The 25,885-nt window shown below is 49.4% G+C and overlaps 1 long non-coding RNA gene across 3 annotated transcripts, besides 6 other annotated features; it reads right to left on the bottom strand.

Annotated features, from left to right (window-relative positions):
- Positions 2,555 to 3,754: an enhancer, noted in NCBI's record as "BRD4-independent group 4 enhancer chr20:17868266-17869465 (GRCh37/hg19 assembly coordinates)". NCBI's record gives its function as "activates an origin of replication core promoter dependent on BRD2, P300/CBP, MED14 and CDK7 cofactors, and independent of BRD4, by STARR-seq in HCT116 cells {active_cell/tissue: HCT116}" and the evidence as "EXISTENCE:reporter gene assay evidence [ECO:0000049][PMID:35650434]".
- Positions 2,555 to 3,931: a biological region, named in NCBI's record as "BRD4-independent group 4 enhancer GRCh37_chr20:17868266-17869465".
- Positions 3,637 to 3,931: a silencer, noted in NCBI's record as "tiled region #2615; K562 Repressive non-DNase unmatched - State 23:Low". NCBI's record gives its function as "represses a minimal TATA promoter and a strong SV40 promoter by Sharpr-MPRA in K562 cells {active_cell/tissue: K562}" and the evidence as "EXISTENCE:reporter gene assay evidence [ECO:0000049][PMID:27701403]".
- Positions 8,414 to 9,327: an enhancer, noted in NCBI's record as "H3K27ac-H3K4me1 hESC enhancer chr20:17862693-17863606 (GRCh37/hg19 assembly coordinates)". NCBI's record gives its function as "activates a minimal SCP1, AML or CMV promoter by ChIP-STARR-seq in naive H9 embryonic stem cells {active_cell/tissue: H9 hESC(naive)}" and the evidence as "EXISTENCE:reporter gene assay evidence [ECO:0000049][PMID:30033119]".
- LOC105372548 (uncharacterized) lies at positions 8,716 to 18,740 on the bottom strand. Of its 3 annotated transcripts, none has more exons than XR_937297.3 (4): positions 18,656 to 18,740; positions 18,453 to 18,523; positions 12,995 to 13,121; positions 8,716 to 8,787 (listed from the first exon to the last, which is right to left on the bottom strand). It is a non-coding gene; the product is annotated as an uncharacterized LOC105372548 (long non-coding RNA). The 3 variants fall into 3 exon arrangements; XR_937296.4 differs by having other exon boundaries at positions 18,615 to 18,706; XR_007067542.1 differs by lacking the exon at positions 18,453 to 18,523 and having other exon boundaries at positions 18,615 to 18,701.
- Positions 14,621 to 15,523: an enhancer, noted in NCBI's record as "H3K4me1 hESC enhancer chr20:17856497-17857399 (GRCh37/hg19 assembly coordinates)". NCBI's record gives its function as "activates a minimal SCP1, AML or CMV promoter by ChIP-STARR-seq in primed H9 embryonic stem cells {active_cell/tissue: H9 hESC(primed)}" and the evidence as "EXISTENCE:reporter gene assay evidence [ECO:0000049][PMID:30033119]".
- Positions 19,522 to 20,250: an enhancer, noted in NCBI's record as "OCT4-NANOG-H3K27ac-H3K4me1 hESC enhancer chr20:17851770-17852498 (GRCh37/hg19 assembly coordinates)". NCBI's record gives its function as "activates a minimal SCP1, AML or CMV promoter by ChIP-STARR-seq in primed H9 embryonic stem cells {active_cell/tissue: H9 hESC(primed)}" and the evidence as "EXISTENCE:reporter gene assay evidence [ECO:0000049][PMID:30033119]".

The following is a 25,885-nucleotide window of genomic DNA, read 5'->3' as shown; positions in this document are numbered from 1 at the left end:
CCAGGTTCAAGCAATTCTCCTGCCTCAGCCTTTCAAGCAGCTGGGATTACAGGCACCCGCCACCACACCCAGCCAATTGTTTGTATGTTTAGTAGAGATGGGGTTTCACTGTGTTGGCCAGACTGGTCTTGAACTCCTGACCTCAGATGATCCACCCACCTCGGCCTCTCAAAGTGCTGGGATTACAGGTGTGAGCCACCATGCCTGGCTGATATTTACTTTTTTAAACATTTAATTGTTATTTTTGTAAAAATAGAGATGAGGTCTCACTGTATTGCCCAGGCTGATCTCCAATTCCTGAGCTAGAGTGATCCTCCAGCCTTGGCTTCCCAAAATGCTGGAATTACAGGTGTGAGCCACCACACCTGACCTGTTGATGGATATTTAGTTTGCTTCCACCTTGTGACTATTGTGAATAATGCTGCAGTGAACATAGGTATGGAAATATCTCTTCAAAATCCTATTTTTAATTCTTTTAGTTATATACTTAGAAATGGGATTGCTGGATCATGCAGTAGTTTTAGTTTTAATCCCCTACCTGTATTTCCTGGATTCATCACCCAAATAAACTATATGCTCCAAGCCTTTGTCTCGGTATGTGCTTCTGGCAGGAACCTAAGCTTAAGCTTGTCACTTGCTTCAGGTTACTCAGTCAATAAGTGGCTCTTCTGAATATCTATTGCTGTAAAATGAGCTGTCCCCAAATCCAGTGGCTTAAAACAACACTTCGCAATTACTTCTGCTTCTGTGAATTGGCTGGGCTCAGCTGGGTGGCTTTCACTTGGGGTCTGCCATGGCTGCAGTCAGGTGTTGGCTGGGGCTGGAGGGTCTGAAGGCTCGACTGGGCTGGAGGCCCACAGTGGCTCACTTGCACACTGGCCATTGATGGCAGGAAGCTCAGCTGAGGCAGTCTGCCAGAACTTCTGCAAGGGGTCTCTTCATGTGGTGAGGGCTTCCTCACAACATGGTGGCTGAGTTCTGAGCGTAGAGTCTCAAGAACAAACATTCCAAGAGACAGGAACAGGCAACTGTTAAGGGCCTTGTCTTTAAATGGCAGTGTCACTTGTGCCATATGCATTTTAGAGCGGGGTGAAGAAATGGACCCCCTGGTGGGATGGGGCAAGGCCATGCTGCAGAAGAGCATGTGGGAAGGGAGAGATTTTTGTGGCCATCTTTGGAAGACACAGTTGGCCATAGTGACAGAGGCAGTATTCAGACCCAGGCAGTCTGACTTGAGAAGCTGATTGCAACCTCTATGCTGCCTCCACTTGAGAACACATTCTGAGAATTCTTGACGTTTCTAAGGGACTGGAGAGCCAGCAATAATGGCAAACCTAAGAAATGCTATTTTTGTTTATTATGACCTCTTTTTAATGTCCAGACTGATGTGGCTGGGTGAATTACAGGTCTCAAGCAGATTCCAAAATGTAGAGACAGTAACCTTGATGTTGACTTTTGGAAAATTATAGAGCAGAGCGTGACATAAACTCATTTGTGAACAGCAGGGAAAAAAAATGCAGTGATGGTGAGGTGGGAGAGTTTGGTGGGGATGAGCTGTGCCCAGCTGTGGTGGGTGGCATAATGGCCCCCTAGAGATATCAGGTCCTAACCCTTGGAGCCTATAAATGTTACCCTGTAAGAAAAATGGGTCTTTGCAGAAGTGAGTAAGAATCTTGAGATAAGAGATTATCCTGGACTCTCCTGTGGGCCCTAAATGCCATCACAAGTGTCCATATAAGACAGAGTTAGACTTGACTCACACTCAGAGAAGAAAGCCATGTGAAGACAGAGAAGAGAAGGATTTGAAGACACTGGATGTGAGAATTAGAGTGATGTGGCCATAAGCCAAGGAATGCTGTAGCTCCCAGAAGCTGGAAGAGGCAAGGAACAGTTTCTCTCCTAAAGCCTCCAGAGGGAGCACAGCCCCACTGATGGATTGATTTCAGTTTGGTGGCACTGATTTCAGACTTCTGGTCTCCAGGACTGTGAGGTAATAAATTTCTGTTGTTTTAAGACCAAAAGTTCATGGTAATTATAGCAACCACAGGCAACGAATACACAAACCAACTTTCTTTTTAGACAGTACTGGATAATGGGGTAAATAAATTTGTGTCCAGCCAGCATTTTATGTTACTGTTTTTTTTTGTTTTTTGTTTTTTGTTTTTTTGTGAGACAGGGTCTTGCTATGTTGTTTATGCCAATCTCGAACACCTGGGCCCCAGTGATCCAGTCTCAGCCTCCTGAGTAGCTGGGACTACAGGCATAGGCCACCACCCCCAGCCGGCATTTTAATAAAGGATTGGCAAACTCACTGGTAATGACGGTGTTTTTTGGTGGGATTTATGGCAGATTGCACGTCTATCAGCAAAGTGTTTGCCATCAAGGAGTCCGTTGCCCTGGTGGTCATGGAGTACCAAAGGGCTCTGTGGTGAGCTCTGCCCTAGCCAATCAACGTTCAGTCCACTTTCTGGATGAAGATGGCAGAAAGTACAGGGTCAGATGTGCAGGTGACACATATTGGAGGGAACAGTGAAAGTGACAGCCAAATGGGAGATGAAAGTGATTTCGATAGATTGGAACTTTGGAGTAAGGCCAAGATCAATTGATATCAGAGAAAGTTAGGTTTTAAAGAGAAATCTGGTGTCCAAGCATAGAACCAGTTGAGGAGGTCTGGGCGGTCTGGGCGGTGTGTGTGAAAAGAAGCTCAGGGTTTCAGTCGCCACCAGCGTGGTGCTGTTTTTGTAAGGGGAACCTAATTTGGGGCACTATGGGACGATAGTGTCCAGTTCATAGAAGCAGATGGTCCCAGGGTGATCACGGCTGGTTGAAGCATACTGAACTACTTTGCTTCATTTTTAATACCCCTCCCCTTTTTGAAAATGTGTAGCAGGACAATATGGGATCAGGAAACCAAGTGTTCTGACTCTGCATTGTCTGCCCCTCCGTGTTCATTCTCTGACCTCCTCTACTCTGACCCCAGGAGGCTGACCTCTCTGGACGAATATTAGCTAGCTAATGCTGTGGAACAAATCATCCCGTGGAACAAAACATAGTGGCCTAAAGCAACAATAATCATTTAATGTCTCACAGTTTCTGTGGGTTGGGAATCCAGGAGTGGCTTCTGACTCATGAGGTTGGCATCAAGATGCAGCTGGGTTTGTAGTCACCTGAAGGCGTGGCTGGGGCTGGAGATGGCTTCCCACCACGGATGATGAGTTCGTGTGGCTGTTGGCAGGAGGCCTCAGTTTTTCACCTTCTGGACGCCTGCACAGGGCTGCTTAAGCAGCCTCACAACATGGCAGCTGACTCTCGCCATCGTGAGTGATTCAAGAGAGAGCAAGATGGAAGCCGCAATATCTATGATGACCTGGTCACAGTCTGTCATTTCCACAACTGGTAACACAGGTCAGCCCTATTTAATGTGGGAGGGGACTACATGAGGGCAGGATTGCCAGGAGGTGGGGTGCATCTGGAAGGCTGGCTGCCACAGGAACAGTGGGAGGGGATGTGCTGTGGCCAGAAGAAAATCAGGACAGACCAGAGCTGGAGGGTATGATCTGCCCCAACTCAGGTTGGCCAAGTTCAAGCCCCAGTTCCGGGATGGAGAGCTCCATGCCTTGGCCCTGCCAGTGGGACTTCTGCATGTGCTGGGAGAGAAGAAAGGTTTCCTTTGAGCCCTGCCAGGATCTTGTTACAGTCTCCACAGAGCAAGACTTCAGGGTCAGGGTGTTGCATTATGAAGACAGGAGCCGTGGAGCCTCCAGCAGGAGACAATGGCTTCCATTGAGATAATATGACTTAACGAGGCCACAAGTCCACAGCCACCACTCAGGAAACAATAACCATTTCAAGAGGGCACAGGAGGTGTTACAGAGAGGCGTGGTGACACACCCCACCCACCGTGGCCTCAGAGATGGTGCTAAGGGAGAAAGTTTGCTGGGATTTGTCTGAAAAGGTCAGTTATTAAAAACAGCTTCTGGCTGGGCGCGCTGGCTCACACCTATAATCCTACCAGTTTGGGAGGCCGAGGTGGGCGGATCACTTGTGGCCAGGAGTTCAAGACAACGCTGGCCAACATGGTGAAACCCTGTTTCTAATAAAAATACAAAAATTAGCTGGGTGCGGTGGCATGTGCCTGTAATCCCAGCTACTCAGGAGGCTGAGGCAGGAGAATCGCTTGAATCCGGGAGGCAGAGGTTGCGGTGAGCCAAGATCATACCACTGCACTCCAGCCTGGGTGACAGGGCAAGACTCTGTCTCTAAATAAATAAATAAATAAAACAGCCTCTTAAAAACACAGCGGCTTCTGACCTTCATGCACTTTGTTATTGCTCAGGCCAGGGTGGTGCTTTCCTGATTCCTTTTCCGAGTTTATGAAGGCACCGTTACTGCTTAGCATCAGGTGAGAAGAGAGGGGTACATTAGGAATTAGAAGAAGAAGGTTTGAGCATGACTTGTTTGAAACAGTCATGTGGGTCTCTCTCTGTTTCCCTGATGTCTGTCTTTGAGATCTTGTATCCAGCAGAGCGCTGGCTGACATCCTGTCCCAGGAGCAGAGAGTGCTATGTGTGGGTCCAGCCATTTGTCTGCTGGCAGGGGACTGGGGATGGGCTTGGGCCTTGCAGTTGAGCAGAATCCCACCCTCCACCACTGGGCCCTGGGGCTGGGCTTCTTGGTGTCATACCTGGAATTAGTATCAGTGAAGTACTACTCTGCCACGATGTCTCACAGCCAGGACGCGGAGAGCACAGAAAAATCCCCAAAGAAGGACCTCCCTTGGAAGATACTTGCCAACTACCAGGTCCCCCAAGACAGAAGGCACACGTGGGTAGACCTGGGTGTTCCTGATGGGAGTGCCCAGAAAAGAACCTCTCTTGGAAAGAAGGACCCTGCTGAACCAGGGCTTACAGATCATAGTTCCATGTGGAAGGCCCTCTGGAATATTTGTGAAGGCCATTGGGGAGGACAGGCTGGAATTTCCACCTGAGCTTAGCCACTTACAGATGGTATGACCTTTGTGAGTTAATGCGTGTCTTCGTGGAATGGCTGTCTGGCATTCTGTGGCCTTCCGGTGCATCTTTCCCCTTCCAGCAGCCCTCCAATTTTCTTTTGGGGAACTATTTGTCCTCTCCCTGGCTTGAACGTCATCAAGGAGGTTGCTGGAGGGGATGTCTGTGGGAGATGCAATTGACTCAAAGCCAACACAAGCTTGCTCCATACCTTTATTTACCTGAATGTCTGGGGTCTGGAACAGCTCTGAGTGAGTAGAATTTCCTGTAAGTGAAATCATATTTTAATTGCAGGGGGACATTTGCTTTTTAAAGGGAACTTGTTGAAAATATTTATAAAACAACAAAAAAATCATTTAGCTGTGCATGTAATTGCTCCCCAATTTCTGCACTAAATTCGTACTTTCTAATTGGGTTGTAAACTCTCAAAGCATCTGCACTGGGCTTGCTTCGGTTTGCTTCTCCTCCCTGCTCCCCTCCCAGCCTTGCCTGTTCCCTGTCTGCTCTGTGTCCTGGGATGCAGGGCTCTGGAGCCTGGAGCAGTGGGCTCCCATGATGTCTAGTTTCCAGCTGGGTTCACTCCACGGGATAGTGTGTGGAAGACAGGAGGGGAGGGAGTCTGGGTATCCACCTCCCCAGCCCTTCCTTTCGGATTCCCTGTGGGTCATGTACTTCCTCTTCCTAAAGGTCCTGGCTTCTGTCCAGGGAGCTCTCATTGCCACTACCCTCTTGGCTTCCTGTAATTACTTCTTCACTTTTAGGAATCGTCCCCTGATGTTGCTGGCCACAGAATTCTGAATTAGCCTGCACTGATTTCCTAAATCCTATCTGTGCCTTTGTAAATAGTCTCTTTATTAAACTCCCCTCAAACTGCCCAGTCTGAGTGTGCCATCTGCATCTCCAGGGACCCTGGAAGATGTGATATTCAAAATTTGATTTTGTACAATATTTTTAAAAGCTCTGTGGTGTTCTCTTTCTCTTTTGAAGGCCTCAGGAAAGATTTAGGATCTGTGTGTTCAATTGAATTGCTATTGTTTGAACTTTAAAAACCAGAGCTGACCTTTGGAGAAGAGGAGAAGGGTAGCTTTGTGTCTTTCTTCAGTGCAAGACTCAACTGAGTTTTAAAAGTCACAGCTGCTGGACCAAATTGAAGATGGTTTCATCCCCAAGGGCGATAGCCCCGGAAAGCTCAGAGTAAGTTACAACAGGACTGGAGAGAGACGGCACCAGGTCTGCTGCTGTTTTCACTACTGTGAGCCTTACATGAAAGCCAGATCAAGGGTTGGGGGCTGGAGGAAAGAAATCAGGACAGTAGGATGGCAAGTTCCCTGCTTTCAAAGGGGTCCTGAGATAGGGTTCTGAAGAGGGGAATGCATTCCGGAATCCACTGATAGTTACTAAGAAAAGACACAAGTCAATAAGATAAATATTGATGGAACGTCCAGTGGATTTTTCGTGGCTGCTCACCGGGACGCTGTCATCCCTCAGTGTAGAAGGTATTCAGGGACGGGAAGAGGTTCCTGAGGATGAGTGGATAGAAGTGGGTTGTGGTACAGTATGCAAGTATGAGCTTGCCTTTGTGGAAGGGAGAATGGAGTCTGTATCTATTTAGAGCATGTAAACTCATGAGCTGGAGGGGAGCCGTATACCTCACATGTGAGGTATAGCAGAGAGCAGGGACAAGGGAGAGAAGCAGATACCTAGAGACAGAGAGAACCAGTCGTGAGAACCTGCATGGAGTCCGTTGTTCTTATCAGGGGTCCCACAGCCCTTCGGTAAATCCCTCTTTGTCTCCTGGGCTGGCCTGAAGTGGGGTCAGTTATTTGCCACATTGAGAATTCTGAGACATTTAGCACTGCTGTGATCACGCCCATTTTCCAGATGCAGAAACAAAGGCTGAGAGAAGCCACGCAACTTGGAAGTAAATGGTGAAGTTCAGATTCGAACCCAGGTCATCTGAGCTGAATACTGATATTTGCCACGTTGCTGGAGCCAGGGGCTTCCAGGAGTTACTTGGAGGTGACTCTGAGGCACCTGACTCTGTTAGGGCATCAACAGAAAACCGTGGTACCTCAAGGGATTTCAAAAGAGATTTTCTTAATGGAGGGTCTGCTCCTGGTCTGAGTTTAGGGAAACAAGGGATGTTGAGGCACGCAGGCACTAGCAGCAGTGGGGAGCTGTTATGCCCTCCAGTGGAAGGCCATGGAAGAGTGTTTCCAGCTGCTGGGGAGAAGGGCAGCGTGGAGGAGGGCCACCGACTGAAGCCCCTGCCAGAACCATGGGGAGGGAGGGAGAGAAGAATGTGGGGGATAAATATTCTACACTTTGCCTCCCCACTGCCCCACCCCCCACAACCCCCATCTCCTGCCACTGTAGGCTATTGGCTGGATTAACCAGGAAGTGGAGGACCAGGGATCCCAGACAGTGCAGTCCCTAGGGCTCAGCCTTCCAGGGGGCAGGGCCAGGCAGGGAATGTTCGGGAAGCGATGGAAATACCCTAACCAGCACACTACTCACCCTGCGGAGTCCAGCTGAGTCCTAAATGCCTTTGTGAGCAGGACTTAGGGGAGCCCTGTGTGGATAAAGGGGCTTCCTGGAGAAGCAGCTGAGTGGAGAGAGGGAGGGGCTGCCCCAAGGGAGGCGTCCTCCTGGCTTGTCCCCTGGAGGTGGTGTCCCTCTATGCCACATACCCCTTCTCCCTCCCCTTGCCCCTTTCTCCCATTTTTTTGTCTCCATAGATTCTACTTTCTTTCTCTTTTCCCATAAAATGAAACCCACGGAGGAAAAGGGCAGCAGGGGCCCTTGCAGGGATCTCCCCTCACCCAAACTCCCCCTCCACACACTCCTAACAGGCATGGGATGCATGTGTGTTGCAGCTATGATTATTTATTCATTTATTTTTAGAGACAGGGTCTTGCTCTGTCAGCCAAGCTGGAGTGCAGTGGCACAGTCATAGCTCACTGCAGCCTTGAACTCCTGTGCTTGAGTGATCCTCTGCCTCAGCCTCCTGATTAACTGGGACTACAGGTGTATGCCACTGCACCTGGTTAATTTGTCTATTTTATTGTAGAGACAGGGTCTCGCGATGTTGTCTAGGCTGGTGTCGAATGCCTGGGCTCAAGTGGTTCTTCTGCCTCAGTCTGCCAAAGCGCTGGGATTACAGGCATGAGCCATATGAGTGAAGCAGGGGGGTGAGATCAAGGCTGGGAGAGACTTGGAATGGCAGTTCTGAGACAAGGATCTGGGCGCAGGAGGTTTATGTGTCAGGTGATTCCGAGGCACAAGGGAGGGGAGGGGGAAGGGGGACAGGAGACGGGGAGCCAACAGTGGCTGCATTAAAAGCCTGTTGCTAGTGTGGGCGCCTGGACTCCATTCTGTTAGAATCATCTGAGGACATAAGCCAAACTCTTATTGGTGAGGTTTGCTGTGGACAGCATTAAACCCTCATCAGTTCTGGGCTGTTCTACAGATAGTGGGAGTGATGGCACGTCTTTGTACCCATCACTGGTGGGTTGCAGGGTGGGGAAAGGCTGGTGGCAGGGGCCCTGATTAGGGGAGAGCCTGAATAAGCCCTTCAGCTGAACTTAGAGGGGTAAGGAGCCTTCAGAGAGGCTGGAGGCTGTGCACATGTCACCAGTGAGTGCCCGTGAGCCTGGAAGTGGCTGCTGCTTGCTGGACACACTGGAGTCTGGCAGGGTCAGCTGAGCAGCTCTTGTCTCCTCGGCTGTCCAGCCAGCCTGGCAGCCTCCTGGGACCTTTGATGACTTGATCCTAGTGCCTGGTGGAGGAAGGGAGGCGGTGGGCCCTCCAGGCCAGGCCACACAGACCAGCCTTTGTGCCGTGTGGCCTACGGGAGGTGTAGGCTGTCTGCACGCTCAGCGCGGCTGGGCCTCAACACAGGCTCTCTTTGTGGTGCCCAGGAACCAGGAGGTGCGGGGGTGGGACATGGTGGTGGGTGGCGCAGGAGCAGGTTTCCCCAGGAGCAGCCACGTTGTGACGTGTTGGGGTGACCGCCCCAACAGAGACTTGGGGGAAGGTAGCAGGCTGGGCCAAGGGGCACCAGCAGCTTCCGGGGGCTGGGGGTGGAAGGTTCCTGGAGGAGGTTCCCTCTGGCCAGCCCCGGGATTCCACACAGCAGGCAGAGGCCACCTCCTACAAGCAGCCCTCCAGGCCCACCTGCCTGGCCTGAGCTTAAGCCCCTCCTGACTCTAATTCTTGCTAATTAAAGCTGCCCAATGACTCAGGGCCCTTGGAACCTGCCGTTGGGCTTTTAACATCTCAGGAGCCACGGTTTCAAATGCACAAGCATGAATGTTTATAAGGTTTGTTCTGGCAAGATTCCTGGTCAACTGAAAGGGTCTGTGTGGGTCCATGGCATCTTAAGGCCCAGACCAGCTCCTCCTTGACCATTTTCCTGGCCTCATCCCCTGCTCTGTAATTTGCTCACATGGTCCTGCCAGGCAGGGCCAGCCTCATGGGCTTGTAACCTGTGGAGTCACATGGTGTCCCATGCCCAGATGAGCCCTTGCACTTGGCTTCGTACTCTGCTGTCACTATCTTGGAATTCTTAATACCTTTTGAACAAGGGGCCCACATTTTCATTTTGCACTGAACCCCACAAAAATATAGCCAGTCCTGCCTCAGGGCTCAGGGAGGGGACAGGAGAGCTCTCAGTCATAGCTCGAGAGAGTCCTTAGCCCACCTCCCCAACCTCTCCCTGACTCAGGCCTCCACCACCATGGCGGGGGCTAAGTGACAGTCTCTCTTTTTTTTTGAGACAGAGTCTCGCTCTTGTTGCCCAGGCTGGAGTGCAATGGTGCGATCTCGGCTCATTGTAACCTCCACCACCCGGGTTCAAGCAATTTTCCTGCCTGAGTCTCCTGAGTAGCTAAGATTACAGGTGCTCGCCACCATGCCCGGCTAATTTTTGTATTTTTAGTAGAGATGGGGTTTCACCATGTTGGCCAGGCTGGTCTCAAACTCCTGACCTCAGGTGATCCTCCGGCCTTGTCCTCCCAAAGTGCTGGGATTACAGACGTGAGCCACTGCGCCCGGCCAAAGTGACAGTCTCTTAAGCACTTTGTGGACATCAACTTACTCTGAAACCTCCTGCACAATTATTTTTTTTAAAAATAATTGCTTCATTAAAATTATATACACTTATTGTGAAATTTTAAACAATGTAGAAAAATACCAAGAAGAAAGTGAAGAAAAAATGATTCAAATTCCATTATGAAGAGATCACTGTTATTAGCATTTTGGTGAACTTTATTATGGTGCTCTGTGTGTGCGTGTGTATTTATATATATTTATATTCACACCTATATATATGTATCTACACACATTTACCTACATATAGTTTTATGTAAATGGGATCATAATGTACATATTATATGTCTGTGTGTGTATATATATTTAACAATATATTAAGTTTTGGGCAGTTCAAGGTCCAGGACCTATAGATTTATTTCACTAATTCTGACAGTTGCATGGAGTTCCATTGCACTTTAAACCATCATAAATGACTGACCCAGTCCCCTGTAGCTGCATGTGGCAGCGGCTGCCACATGTTCACTCTTAAAAACAAGGCCATGGGGTCTGGGCGCGGTGGCTCATGCCTGTAATCCTAGCACTGTGAGAGGCTGAGACAGGCATATCACCTGAGGTCAGGAGTTCGAGACCAGCCTGGCCAAGATGGCAAAACCCCATCTCTACTAAAAATACAAAAATTAGTCAAGTGTCGTGGCAGGCACCTGTAATCCCAGCTACTCAGGAGGCTGAGGCTGGAGAATCGCTTGAACCTGAGAGACAGAGGTTTTAGTGAGCCGAGATTGTGCCACTGCACTCCAGCCTGGGTGACAGAGAGAGACTCTGTCTCAAAAAAACAAACAAACAAAAAACAAGGCTATGGTGAACATTCCTACAGATACACCTTTGGTGGGGAGGGCAATCCTGGGTTTCCTGTTCCCTTGTTTATAACGGAGGGGCTGAAACGTTCAGAAGCCCCGAGCAGTGGGCAGTTAGATGGGGGCATATTTCAACCCCTGGGGTTGAAGTGGTTGTTCCCAAACCTGACTGTATTTTCATTCTCCGAGGCACGTGTTGAATATCCCAACCCAAATCTCCGGGGACCCAGTCACCCTGCTGCCCTTTGCACAGGCCCCAGAGACTTGTTCTTTTTTTTTTTTTTTTTTTTAATTTTTGTTTGTAGAGATAGGGTCTTGCCATGCTGCTCAGGCTGGCCTTGAATGCCTGGGCTCGTGATCCTCCTGCCTTGGCCTCCCAAAGCGCTGGGAGTATAGGTGTGAGCCACCGAGCCCAGCTGACTTGCTTCTTTAAATTAGTTCCTAGCAGACCCACTTGTGCTTTCCTCCTTTGCCTCTGGCCCTGGGTGTCCTCTCTGAGAAGGGACAACGACAGCGCTCTGCTCTGAGGAGCTGGCTCAGTTGCCTGTCACTTGGATGATGCCTCGTGCCATAGCTTTGGACATCTCCATCAGCACTGCGTCCCCTGCCTTGCAGCACCTGACATAATGGCAGGTGCCCAACAAGTATCTTTGCATTGGATGAAAAGTCTTCTTGGCCAGGCGCAGCGGCTCACACCTGTAAACCCAGCACTTTGGGAGGCCGAGGTGGACAGATCACCTGACGTCAGGAGTTCAAGACCAGCCTGGCCAACATGGTGAAACCCTGTCTCTACTAAAAATACAAAAATTAGCCGGGTGTGGTGGTGGGTGCCTGTAATCCCAGCTACTTGGGAAGCTGAGACAGGAGAATCTCTTGAACCCAGGAGGCGGAGGTTTTAGTGAGCCGAGATCACACCACTGCACTCCAGCCTGGGCAACAAAGAGCGAAACTCTGTCTCAAAAAAAAAAAAAAAAAAAGAAAAGAAAAGTAGTTTCACATCCTTTTTTTTAAATTTCCCCTCAACATTTTATTATAAAGATTTTCAAACACACAGAAAAGTTGAATGCATTTTCCAGTGAACACCCACATATGTACCCCCTAGATGGCATTTTACTGTATCTCTTCATCACACAGCTCTGCATCTACCCATTACTTCATCTTATTGTTTTCCACCTTTCAAGGGGAGCCACAAACCTCAGTACACTTCACTCCCAAAGGTCTCCACATGTATATCATTAAGTAGCATTCAGGAATGCCTTTATAGTTCATTTTAGGTAAAATTTACATAGAGTGAAATGTTCCAATCTTAAGTGCACCATTTGCTGGATTGTGACAAATGCAGACATCTGTTAAATCAGACTCCTCCCAAGGGAAGGATGTTCCCGTCCCCTCAGAAGGTTCCTTCGTGTCCCTTGCCAGTCAGGCCACCCCCACACTGCCCCCTGCGGCAACCCCTGTTCAGGTTTTTATTTCATTATAGATGAGTGTTTCCTGTTCTAAAACTTCTTAGAAATGATTTGTACTGCAGGTGCCCTTCTGAATTCTGGCTTCTTTCCCTCCCTGTAGCGATTCTGAAATCTGTCCTCGTTGCTGTGGGTTTCAGTAGCTTGTCCCCTGCTGTTGCTGAGCGGGGTCCCCCTGTGTGCATGTACCTACCATGGGGTGTTCATCCCTCCCACTCTGTATCACTCAGCACACATTAAAACACCCTTATATACTATCTCTCACTCAACTCAATTTGCCTGAGGTCCCACTGCCAATTCAAGGGCAGTCAGGATTTGTCTCTATGTTTCCAGGCAGGGAACCCATCCAAAGGTCACCGATGAAGACCTGCCCAATCTTACTGGCCCTCCGGTGGCCTCTACTCAATCTGCCCCCTGCCCCAGCCAGCACTGCAGGGCTTCCTGACGGTGGTGGGTACGTTGGCTGCCTCGGCTTCCTCTCCTCATGTTCCCCCTTCAATTCACTGCAGGCTGGCTTTGGCTGCCCCTTCCCATCTTATCAGTCCTCCTAGTAACATCCAACGCGGCCACCCCCGCTGCTCAGAGAAACCTCCCCTCTGTTGCCCTCTGTGCTCACCCGCCTGCCTCCACGGCTGCTGCGACTCAGTTTCCTTGGCTGTCCCTCCTCTCGGTGACCTTCAGCGTTGAGGAGTCTTCAAGGTCTAGCTCTGGACAGTTGTCTCTGCTCTCTGAACTCTCACTTCCTACAAGGTTGCATCCAGAACCATGGCTTTAAATTCCACCCAGGTGCTGGTAACGCCACAGCCAGACCTTCCCTTAATTCCGGAATCTCCAGGCTTGGATAACCATAATCTCCACTTCAGGCTCAAATAATCCTCCCAAATTTAACAGCACCAGAAACAGAAGCCTTGGTTCCCCTCTCTAGTCTGATCCTGCCCTGCCCTCCCATCCCCAGTAAGTGGTCCCATGAACCCAGAGGTAGCTCAAGCCTGAAGCCTGGGGGTTGTTCTTGATTTCTCCCATGTCCTTGTCTCCTACATCTAACTTATTACCAATCCACAGAGCATCCATCTCCAAATCACATGCTTTTTTTAAACCATAGTGTGGAGGTATGATTGACACACAAAAAGCTGTAGGTTTTTTTTTTGTTTGTTTTGAGACGGAACTTTGCTCTGTCTCCCAGGCTGGAGTGCAGTGGTGTGATCTCGGCTTGCTGCAACCTCCACCTCCCAGGTTCAAATGATTCTCATACCTCAGCCTCCCGAGTAGCTGGGATTACAGGCATGAGCCACCATGCCTGGCTAATTTTTGCATTTTTAGTAGAGATGGGGTTTTACCATGTTGCCCAGGTGGTCTCAAACTCCTGACCTCAAGTGATCCACCCGCCATGGCCTCCCAAAGTGCTGGGATTACAGGCATGAGCCACCACGCCCAGCCTGTAGATATTTAATGTATACAACTTGATGGATGGAGATATGTACACACCTGCGAAAACATTCATCAAGGCCATAAACTTATCCATCACTCTAAGTGTCCTTCCGTCTCCTCTGTTTCTTTTTCATTTCCTTATGTGGTAAGAGGACTAAACATGAGATCTACTCTGTTAGCAAATGTGTAAGTGTACAGTACAGTATTGTTAATCACAGGCCCTAGTTGTACAGTAGATCTCCAGAATGTATTCATCCTGCGTAACTGAGACATTGTACCCTTTGACCAACATCACTCTGTTTCCCCCTCTTCCCAGTCCCTGGCAATCATCATTCTACTTTCTGCTTCTATGAGTTTGGCTGTTTTCCGTTCCATGTATAAGAGAGAAAGAGCAGTATTTGATTTTCTCTGTCTGAGTTACTTCAGGATCTCATCATGTCCTCCAGGTCCATCCATGTTGTCACAAATGGCAGGATTGATCCCTCTCTCCCTTCCTTCCTTCCCTCCTTTCTTCTTTCTTTCTCTTTTTTAGATACCGGGTCTCGCTCTGTTGCCCAGGCTGGAATGCAACAGTGCTGTCATAGCTCAGGGCAGCCTCCAGCTCCTGGGCTCAAGTGATCCTCCTGCCTCATCCTCTTGAGCAGTTCAAACTACAGGCATGCGCCATGATACCCGGCTAATTTTTAAATTTTTTGTAGAGACAGGATCTTGCTTTGTTGCCCAGGCTGGTCTCAAACTTCTGGTTTCAAGTGATTGATTCTCCTGCCTTGGCCTCCCAAAGTGCTGGGATTACAGGTGTGACCAACCACCCTGGCCCTGGATTTCCTTCTTTTTAAATGTCGAATAATATTCCCTCATAGGTGTATACTACAATTTCTTTATCCATTTTTCCACTGACGGACATTTAGGTTGTTTCCAGATCTTGGCCATTTGTGAGTAACACCGCAATGAACCTGGGTGCGCAGATATCATCTCTTCAAGATCCTGATTTCAGTTCCTTCAAATACAATCTTAAACCTCTCCCCTTCTTTACCCCCACTGCCACTGCCCTAGTCCTTGGGCCATGCTTAAACTACAAGTATTTCTGGTTTATCTGTAATTCAGATGTAACTGGCTGCCCTGCCTGTGAGGGGCTGCAGCCGGCTAGCACCTCCTCTCTAACCTCGTCCCCACTATGGAGTTCCTGTTCCTGCTACCCAGGCCAGGCGGGCTCAGAGTGAGCCAGGACAACCCCCTGCCTCCGCTTCTTTCCCCCTGCCTCCGCTTCTTTCCCCCTGCAGGCATCTGAGGGGGAAGCAGATCCTCTGCAACCGCGAGATCTGAGATGTCTCCGCTGCTCAGGCAGAGCGGGGTCTCTGCCCTACTGCTCAGACACAGGCGTTCCACTTGGCTTGCTGTCAAGAGACTGACTCCAGAGCTCTGATTTTAAGGATCGAGGAGACTGACATCTGTGAGGATCCCAGCAGAGGGCCTGCCTGGCTTACTCGGGGCCAGTACATGGCAGTGCCCCCTTGGTCCTCCTCATGCCTGCTTCCCCCTGGGCACAGACAGGGGCTGGGCTGGTGAGGAAGCCATTCTCCAGGGGGAGCAGATCTGACAGGACTCATTTCTCCTCTCCCTGAGCAGGCTTCTTTTAAAACTACTGCATGTTTGGCCAGGTACCGTGGTTCATGCCTGTAATCTCAGAACTTTGGGAGGCTAAGGTGGGTGGATCAGCCTGGGCAATATGGTAAAACCCTGTCTTTACAAAAAACATGGAAAAAATCAGCCTGGCATGGTGGCAAGTGCCTATAGTCTCAGCTACTCGGGATGCTGAGATGGGAGGATCACCTGAGCCCGGGAGGTTGAGGCTGTGGTGAGCCATGATCATGCCACTGTACTCCAGCCTGGGTGACAGAGTGAGACCCCGTATCAAAACAAACGAAAAAACTCCCCAAAACCCCCCACTGCATTTTAAACCATGCACAGTAGTGAGCAGTCCTGTTTCAGGGCAGTTCTGGGAATTACAAGGACAAAATCTGGCCTTCTGCCTGGTGGAGCAACGTGGGGGTGTGGACGCCTGTGTGTGAACGCCCCTCACCCACGTGGGACAAAGTCCATCCTCTGTGCCAGGCCCTGGGCAAGCCAGCCCGGCTGATCCACCTTGCTCCTCCCCCTCTCTTCTTTGTGTTCCCTGCAAACTCCTGCCAAGTTTGCAAGCAGAAAGAGCTGACGGTTTGGGGTTGTGCAGAACATTCCTTTCTAGAATAGAAGTCAGCTGGTGGGGAAGCAGATGCCCCTTACTCTCGGTGCCTCAACTTCCTCATTGGCCTAACGGGGCTTAGGAATTCTGCCTGCTTCTCCTGGAGAGCACAGGGGACCCACCAGGCCCCCAGTGCTCAGTAAGAGGGGTACCTTCTGTCCATGCAAGTGGCCCTCCTTTGAGACCCAGCGCCCGACTGCCCAACAACTTGGAGCTGTTTCCTCCTTGTTCGTAGCACTTTCTGGCCTCTTCCCTTGCCGTCTTCAGTGGGTGGCATGGTGGCCCTTTCTCTTTACATTTTTTTCTGGCACTAGAATCTGAGCTCCTTGATCTGCAGGGATTGTGGTTTCCCCACACAGTGCCTGGCACACAGATAGTGCTCAATAAATGCTCACCACGGCAGAATTTAACTGTCTTTGAGGTATCCAGAATATAGAGACAGGTTCCTCCAGCTTCCTACTCCCTCAGGCCTATTCTAAAACAAAACCTGAATTTCTGTCCCTGAAGGCAGGTCCTCCTTTAGCCAACTGCAGGTCTCCTTAGGAAGAGTAAGATTCCAAGTCCTAATTTATCCTTTTTATACCTAAGGTGGATCAGCCCTGATTTTATGCTGGGACCTTTACTTGTACTATTTTATTTAATCCTCAAGATAACCCTATGAAGTAGGTACTGTTAATATCATCCCCATTTTACAGATGCAAAAACTGAGGACCAGAGAGATTAGGCAACTTGCCCAAAGTCACACAGCCAGCAAGCAGTGCACAAGGGATTTGAACCCAGACCCTTCTGATACCAGAGCGAATGCCCTTGAACCTCTGGGCTACACTGCCTGAGGGCTGCAGGGCTCTAAAGGGATAAGGAAGGAAGCTTGGAGGGACTGAGTGCCAGGGGAGTGAGAGGGGTGTGTGTATGAGTGTGTGGGTGGGTGGGGCTTTGCAGGGAGGCGGTTGCTACAGAGGGGCAGGGGAAGGGGGGTGCTGGAACGTGGGGAAGGTAGACAGAGGAGCCCCAGAAGCAGTCAGCTGTGCTGACGATGGATGGGGCAGGAGAAGAGAAACCCCAGGCAAGGGAGGTGAAGCTCTGAGCGGCCACACCAAGCTCTCCCTCCTGCCCAGGGCACAGCGCCAGGCCTTACTTTTGAAGCTAACGAGAAGCAGATGAAGGAGTGGGATGGGCTAGAGGCGGAGACTGCCTCTGCTACGTGGCACCCCTCGGCAAGCCTGGAGCTTCTGCCAGCGGCCAAGAGTGGGGCAGGGCCTTGCAGCTGGACTGTGGGTCTCCCTCAGGGTTTACTACAGCTTGGACTTGCCAGTGCAAGAGGGTGGATCTTATTCAAAGATAGGTTCAAACATTAGCAGCCTCAGTGAACGATGCAGCCTGGGCTCCATGGAGTTGCTACCACCCATAAGAGGGTGTCCCTCCTGCCATGGGCTTCCCTTTCCTTCCCTGACACATGGACAATCCAGCCCACAGGTCTGAGCCCCCCAGAGCAGCTGGCTCCCAGGCTGCGCCATCCCTTCCAGGGAGGGGTGGGAGTGGGTAGTGCAGGTGCTTGGAAGCCAGAGGGGTGGCTCTGAAGGGATAGCTAGGATTCAGGATCCAGGGAGAGCACTGGGGGCTGGGGTGGCAGCCCCCTGTGGGCCAGGACTGGGTGTGTTGGTGACAGCAGCATCCGCAGCACCTTGCATGGTGTGCCTAGTCGATGCATAATCAACACTTTAGTTACGTCACATAACGGCTCTGTAAACAGGATCTGGAATCAGCCATGGGCTTGAACCTCAGTCCCACTATTACTAGCTCAGCAGAGGGCTTGACCCCCCTCCCCAACTTTTTTAGTGACAGGGTCTTGCTCTGTCACTCAGGCTGGAGCGCAGTGGCATGATCATAGTTCACTGCAGCCTTGAACTTGTGGGCTCAGGCGATATTCCAGCTTCAGCCTCCGGAGTAGCTGGGATTATAGGCGTGTGCCACCACACCTGGCTAATTTTTAAATTTTTTGTAGAAATGAGGTTTCACTTTGTTATCCAGGCTAGTCTTGAACTTCTGGGCCCACGTGATCCTCCCGCCTTGGCCTCCCAAAGTGCTGGAATTACAGGCACGAGCTACTGTGCTTGGCCAGGGCTTAACCTCTTTAAGCTTCCATTTTCCTATCCGAGGCTTCCAACTCAGGCAGCTCTGAGCCAGCTCTGAACCAGTCACGACTTGCTGCCTCTTAAAGGTGCAGAGCTCAGCACAGTGCCTGGCACATAGTAAGTGCTTAGTAAAAGCCATCATGGACATTTAATTCACAAACAGGTGGAGGATGCAGCAGAGTGTCCTGGGTCTTCCTGAAAGAAGTGAAGTGATGGCATTTTGTACTTTTCATCATTCATTCATTCAATCTTCATTCAACTCTCCTACAAACCTGGCCTAAAATGCAGGCAGAGTTGGTGTTGGGGAAGGAGATGGCTGTGGGTCCATTATACTCCATGAAGCCTGTTTGAGGGAAAGAAGCAGAGAGCCCTTCAAGTGAACCGGAGGGAGACGGGCTCCTATTAGGAAACCCTGGACTCAGGGAACTGATTACCAGAGGAGCCTCACAGCAGCCTCCTGGGAACGGAAGGTTACCAGGCAATCCGGGGCTGGGTCACTTCTCTGCCGGCCTGTGCTAGTCTCCCTGCGCACTGACTATCCCCGCGAGACTCTTCTGCTCCCCCAAACTCAGCATGCAACAGACTACGGGTTGCCGTGGTAACAACCAGGGCTCCAGTTTTATATGTTCTTACCACTTCCGGGTCAATACCACTTCCAGGTCAATACCACACCCGGGTCAATACTACCTGACTGTGGTTGGGTCTTTTTGAGTTCAAATTCTGTCGCCCTCTCATAAGTGGGGGGGCTATCTGTCTCAAACCTGATAGTTTGCTTCTTCCTCATCAGCAAGAAGGGGGATCACACTCCCAAAAAAGGTAGGCACGCAAAATTGTCTCCTATGAACAGAACAAAAGACCAGCACCTCCCAGCAGCCTTTTCAGATAACTATCTTCACACCATTTACACCATCTTTATTTATCCTCTTACCTCTCTTTCTCCAGGACTGTTAAGAAGCTGAGAGCCACAGTAAAAAGCCACAAGGATGTCCCAAGTTACATTTCCAACCTTGTCACCTGCTTCCTTCACAAACCCACTTTTCTGGGCAGAAAAGTGCACCCTGCCAGCAGAACACGCCTGGTTCCTTCCTCCCTCCAAACTTCCGCCCACACTCGCCTCTGTAGCCTCTGTAGCCAGATGTGCTCCTCTTCATATCATTTTTTTTTTTTTTCTTGAGAAAGTTTCTTGCTCTGTTGCTCAGGCTGGAGTACAGTGGCATGATCATGGCTCACTGCCACCTTGACCTCCTGGGCTCAGGCGATCCTCCCACTTCAGTCTCCAGAATAGCTGGGACCACAGGTGCACACCATGCCCAACTAATTAAAAAAAAATATTTTTTTGTAGAGACGAGCTCTCACCATGTTTCCCAGACTGGTCTAGAATGCCTGGGCTCAAGCGATCCTCCCTCCTCAGCCTCCCAAAGTGGTGGTATTACAGGTGTGATACCTAATTCAAGAGTTAAATAACATTAAAGAATAATTTGGAGGCTCCCTCCCAGCCTCCAAATCTTCACCAGCCCTCAAAATTAAGCTCAACTTCTGTCTCCTCCAAGAATTTTCCACAGGATTCCAATCTGGAGGGATCAGTGTCCTCTAAGTGTAGCCTTTATTGACTCTTCCACCATTTGGTCTCCTATATTACCATCAGGAAAAATTAGTAAAAGACTTTCAAATGGACAAAAAAGAGCAAATGTCACTGAATGTCCAGCCTAGAGCACTCTTCCAGTTTATCACTGCCTTCCATTGCCTTTGAGCCATTTACAACTCTATAAGTCACAGAGAACTGATAATAGTGCAAATGACTTGAGTTCATAGAAATGCAAATTCCTTGTGTCCCGGGGAATGTACTCGATGGTTGCCCTGTGGATAAACTTCCTCTGCAAGTTCATTTCAGCCTCCTGTTGACTTACATGTGTGTGGTTCTTGGAATTCTCCTTTTAACCAGTTAGAACATCTTAACTACTTCCCATTAATTAATGAGTTAAATAAAATCTTTATATTTTAATGAGAGTCATAATTTTGTCTTTTTTCCAAAAATTATTCTTTAATGTTATTTAACTCTTGAATTAGAAAATATAATGGCTTGGCACCCTGTATCCGTCAGTGTTTTGGGGAGTAGGCAATAGAAAGGGGAAAGGGGGCTGCCAAAAAACAACTGTCTACCCATCTTTCCTTGACAACTAAATTGTGCACTCTGGGCGGGGTGTAGTGGCTCACACCTGTTATCCCAGCACTTTGGGAGGCCACGGTGGAAGGATTGCTTGAGGCCAGTAGTTCAAGACCAGCCTGGACTCTGTCTCTACAAAAAAATAATAATACCTAAGAAATTAGCCAGCTGTGGTGGTGCACACCTGTATTCCCAGTTACTCAGGAGGCTGAGGTGGAAGGATCACTTGAACTCAGGAGTTTGAGGCTGCCGTGAGCTATGACTGCACCACTGCACTCCAGCCTGGGTGACAGAGCAAGACCCTGTTGCTAAATTTTTTTAAATTGTGAGTTGTGTGAGTGCTATATCTAGAAAGTTCACATATTCCTCTTTTCTCTTTTTTACATAATGAGGGATTACTAAGGGGGCTAGTGTACTAGACCCTGTGGAATTATTCTAAAGGAAGTCCAGGGAAAATACGAAATCAGAGAACGTCTGAGCTGGATGAGGTCAGAGAAGCTGCCTTGAGCAAGTCTCTCATTTTTCTCCTGAGGACACCGGGCTGCCTGCGCTGGGGGGTCTGTGTGGCCTGTCAGAGAGTAGGATTTGGGGATTCTCTGACAACTGTTCATGAAATGGGGCATGCTCACTTACCCCAAATCTGGTTATGGTAACGAGTTGGGGGGAACGGCCACCAGCTGATTGGAAACAGAGCCTCCCGAGGCGCATTGGGCTTCCGGGCTGTTTCCCAGCCTCCTTGGCAGCGGACTCCTCTCCCGAGGTATGTTTTGCCGACGTGGCTGGCCGTGGGAAGCTGGGAGGCACACTTTTCTGAAGATCTGTTTGCAAAATTGAAACCCTGCTTTTGAGAACCCTTCACAGTTCGCAGCTGTGAGGAGATGGGAGCGCGAGGCCAGGAGCAGCCTTCCAGCAGCTCTGAGACCCACCAGTGTAACCCAGGATGCCCTCGGCTTGGTCTGGGGCTTCAGCAGCCATGCCTCCAGCGTGTGCCCCTCAGGGGCCCTTTCGGGGAGAACACCCCGTCTTCTCTTTGCTGGGGCTGTTGACCTGTCTTCTCCCTCTCGGTTTCCTCCACTTTAGCTCCCATACCTGGTTTCTGGAAGGCAGGGGTGCAGCTGCAGCTATGGGGCTTCCATCCACTCACCTCACCTTGGGGAGACGAGGGTCCCACACACGGGTGTGGCCACAGGCAGGACTGGGGTGGTCTGGGGTGGGGTGGAGGGCTTTCTGGCAGACAGGTCGCGTGGTCTTCTCCCAGTGGGAAGAGGTGCCTGAGAAAGGCAAGAGCAGGAAGCCAGGCGTCCAGGTCTCCACTCCTCGTTATGGTAACTCTCGTTCCCAACTCCAGAGGGACCCAGTCTGTCCCATTGCAGCACCCCTACTCCTATAACCTGTCTGGAAACAGAAGAGGAAAGGAGGGATGGTGCAGGATGGGATTGACACTACCGATTTCTGACTTATGTTGACTGCTGCATTCTACTTAATCTTCATCACCATCACTGCAGTGCGAGGTAGGGATTATTACCCATCTTACAGATGGTGAAACTGAGGCTGAGAGTGCCCGAAGGCAGTGAGCTCAGTCCTGCCAGCTACCAAAGCCCACAGTCTCCCTATGATACCAGGCTGAATCCTCTCCCTCACAGCCCTCGCCAATTCTTCAGTTTTGTTAATCAGTAAATACCCAAAGTGTCATGGACTGATTAGCAAGACAGACAAGAAAGGGGGAGTCAAGATTTTTCCACTTTGTCTTGTTTTAAAAACTCTTGCACACTTTTGCTTTCCTATTTGAAATGGTCTTGGGTGTGGGTTTTGGAAGCAGCTCCAGATCCCTTAGAGGGGAATTTTCTTTGCATTTTCTTGCAGAGGTTTTCAGCAGGAAGGGTGGAAGTTGCCCTTTTCTTTCCTCACTCAGGAAAGTGGAGGGAACTGAGTGAGGACCTCACCATGGCTGCGGGCCAGCTGGGGCTTTTTGTTCCTTAGGGTTTGCTGGTTGGCCCAGGAGTCTACCAGCTACGCCCATGGGCACAGCTCTCCCCCATCAGGGGTGGCGGCATGGTGGGGGAAGGTGTGCATATCCCCAAGTAACACCCACCACTGCTTATTCAGCCACTCAAGCCTCAATTTCTCCATCTGTTAAATGGGAATAATGATAGAACCCACCTCCTGGGGTGGTTGTGAAGATTAAGATGGGTTTATGCATGTGACTGTCAAAACCACTATCAGGATTGGATACTCACCAAAGCTCCCCGCTCCCCAGATGATCTCTGGAATGAGACTTTCTATTTTCAAGAAAGACTCACACAGTCTTTCATGTTGTGGGGTGCTCCCAACTATTTTACTTTAAACAACCAAGTGCTGTTTAGGCGAGATGTTATCTGAAACAACCTTGATCGGTGGTTTTTTTTTTTTGGCTATTTACTAAGGTTATCTTGAAGGAATTGCTAAAAAGGAAGCTAGGAAATGTAACCCAGATTTGGAACAAATTTCCAAGGGTGTGGCATCACAGTGTTGCACTATGAGAGTGAGCGAGTCTTTTAAGGACACTTAAGAAAGCCATACCATCCGTGGTTACATTATGGAGAGCACGCATTGGCACCTCTGAGATGAATGGAACAGCCAGCTGCCCTAATGTTATGCAAATAGGTGCTCAAGGCTTGGGATAAAAATTTCAGTGAAAGCATCCTACAGATTCCAAAAATGCTGTATCGCCAAGAACCCAGAGGGGAGGAAAGAAGATGTGCTTGGGAAACTAAGATGATTCAAAAGGTGGCTTTGATGATGACAAAGACCATGAGAGCAATGATGAATTGGAAGAGCTGGAATAAAACTGAGTCATGGAATGAGGGCAGAGATAGCAACTTTTCTAAATTAATATATCATTAACATATAATATGTGATTATAAGCATGTAGGGTAAATTAAATGTTATAGATATTTAACTCTTTTATCTACTTATAAAAAGATTATATATTCAATTAGGTCACAAATCCTCTGGGTCTTTTGAGTGGAGAAGTGGGCAATGATCATATTTTGGGGTTGTGTCATATTTGGGTGCTGGAGGGATGCTGCTGGTGCCTTTGCAGAAGGCCTGACTTGTGGCTCTTTTGCCCCAGGTTCCTGTTCTTTGGGCTGCCTGCAGTGGGGATGGCTGGAAGTGCCAGGGAATTAATACAGCCTTGGAACAGCCCTCAACCAATGGCTGATGGGATCTGGGGCATAAATTCCCCAGTGCCCTCATCCCTGGATGAGATGATGCTGAAGTGTGCGCGCTGCACTGGCTCCCAGAGTCCCCAGGGGGCTTGAGCTCCAGCGGCCCCAGCCATAACTTGCTTCCCTGGCTGTCTTCCATTCTCTGTCTTTCTTCCTTGTGCTTCCAGGATTCCCTCCAAAGAAAGTCAATGGACTCAAATCCTTGTCTCAGAGTTCACTTTTGGGGAATTCCAACCTACAAGCACATATGATAAAGGACAACGATTGTTATGATCACTCTTGTTATTATTTTGATAAAGTTCAGGAAAATGAAGTGAACGCTTCGTGTTCTCTGTCCGCAGAGCTTGTGGGAGTCAGGCTAGGAGAATCTTTGAGATCTGGTCAGGAGCGGGGATGTCTGACTGTATATTCATCTCAAAGCAATCTCAAAGTGATATTCTCTTTCCCTCTCATTCAATTATATGCTTGAGCAGCTAAGCCAAAAATCGGTCCATCCAGAGCAATTAAAGGCTTCCTTTGCCAGACCTTGGGGATTTCTCTCTGATCAACGAGAAAAACACTGCAGCTGGAAAACAGCTGAAACCAAGAACAGGGCAGTCAGGTCTTAGCTGTTCAGATGGGGTAAAATTTGTTTTTAAAAGATCCACTAAAATTTGTTTTTAAAAGATCCTTTTATATTTTCAATATGGGATGGTGGGAGGAGGGATGTTATATAAACGATCAGATATTTCATAGTTTTCCAGCCCTGTTGCCTCCAAACTGGACTTTATTTGTGAAAATTTCTATGGGGCCCCACATACCAGCTCATGAACCACAGTAAGGTAGTTGTTATTATATTTATGCTTAATAATAAAATAATAGCAGGAATCATGTAACATGTAGTTACAATGTGCTGGTCTCTGTGCTAAGAACTTCACTTGTATTATCTCAGCTGACTGATGATACTATAGAGTGGTCAGTGTTATCATCTCTGTCGTATAGATGCAGCTACTCAGCTCAGAGAGGTCAGAGAGGTTGAGTAACTTGTCTGAGATCACACAGCCAGGAAGTCACAGAATGGGGTTACAATCCCAGGCAGTTTGGCTTTAAAGCCTAGGTTCTTTGATATCTGACTTTTTCTAACCTGGTGGAAGGAATGTCTTGGCTGACTTCATTGCCCAAGGCTGGACTCGCCCTGAGCTGCCTTCCTTAAGGAGTTGAAACAAGGTGGGTTTTAGTTCTCATGCTATTTCTCCCTGCCACTCTCACTTATGTAGATGTCAGAGAGTTTTGTAAACTGGGTTTCCCTGGGTCTCAGCTGCCTGTAGCTGCAGAAGGTGGCACAGCCTAATGGTGGTGGACATTTCCTGGGCCTGTGGTGTGCAGCTGCGGATGTGATCCTCCAGCCCCTAGGAGACACCTCAGTGTGCAGCCACTGCGGTGTTTGGGAACAGCGGAGTGATTGTTTATCTAGAAATACAGGGTAAATGCAGAAAATACACGACGCTAGTCATGAGCCATCTTAGGTGACCCCCTTTCAAGAAGCAGGCACCAGGAGACTTGGGGGTGTCCATGGAGTCAGGGAGTGGATAAAGAACAAGGAAAGTCTCCCAGGACGTGTTGGGATGCTACAGGGAATAGAGCCGTCCCAGCTTCTCCTAGCCATCATTCACTCTGTGACTGAGGCCCTATCACTCCTCTGCTCCACCTCCTTCTCTGTGAAATGGGCAGATGTTGGCCAGGCGCGGTGGCTCACGCCTGTAATCCCAGCACTTTGGGAGGCCGAGGCAGGCTGATCACAAGGTCAGGAGATTGAGACCATCCTGGCTAACACGGTGAAACCCCGTCTCTACTAAAAATACAAAAAATTAGCTTGGCATGGTGGTGGGCGTCTGTAGTCCCAGCTACTCAGGAGGCTGAGACAGGAGACTGGCGTGAACCCAGGAGGTGGAGCTTGCAGTAAGCCGAGACTGTGCCACTGCACTGTACTCCAGCCTGGGCGACAGAGTGAGACTCTGTCTCAAAAAAAAAAAAAAAAAAAAAAAGAAATGGGCAGATGTTTTAGGGGAGGCCAAGAGGCCCCTCTCTATGATCAGTAATCAGTGGGCAACATTTCCTGCAGGAGACATTCTTCCCTACCCTTGGCTCCATGCAGTGTCTGCTGTCTCCGTGTCCTTAGTCCTTTGGCCCAGGGCATGGCCTGTCTGCGGGTCAGTGTCTCCTTGAGGATCCAGCTGAGCCATAGGTCCCTGAGGTCAGTGAGTGGGGACTTCTTTGTGTTTAGATTTTCACAGAGTAAATCTAGCACAGTGGTTCCCAACCAGGGATGTTTTTGCTCCCCATAGGACATCGG

The sequence above is a fragment of the Homo sapiens genome, chromosome 20, assembly GCF_000001405.40.
Source record: "Homo sapiens chromosome 20, GRCh38.p14 Primary Assembly".
Lineage (NCBI taxonomy): Eukaryota > Metazoa > Chordata > Mammalia > Primates > Hominidae > Homo > Homo sapiens.
The sequence above is the reverse complement of the archived record's forward strand: the minus strand, read 5'-3'. Positions and strand labels throughout refer to the sequence as shown.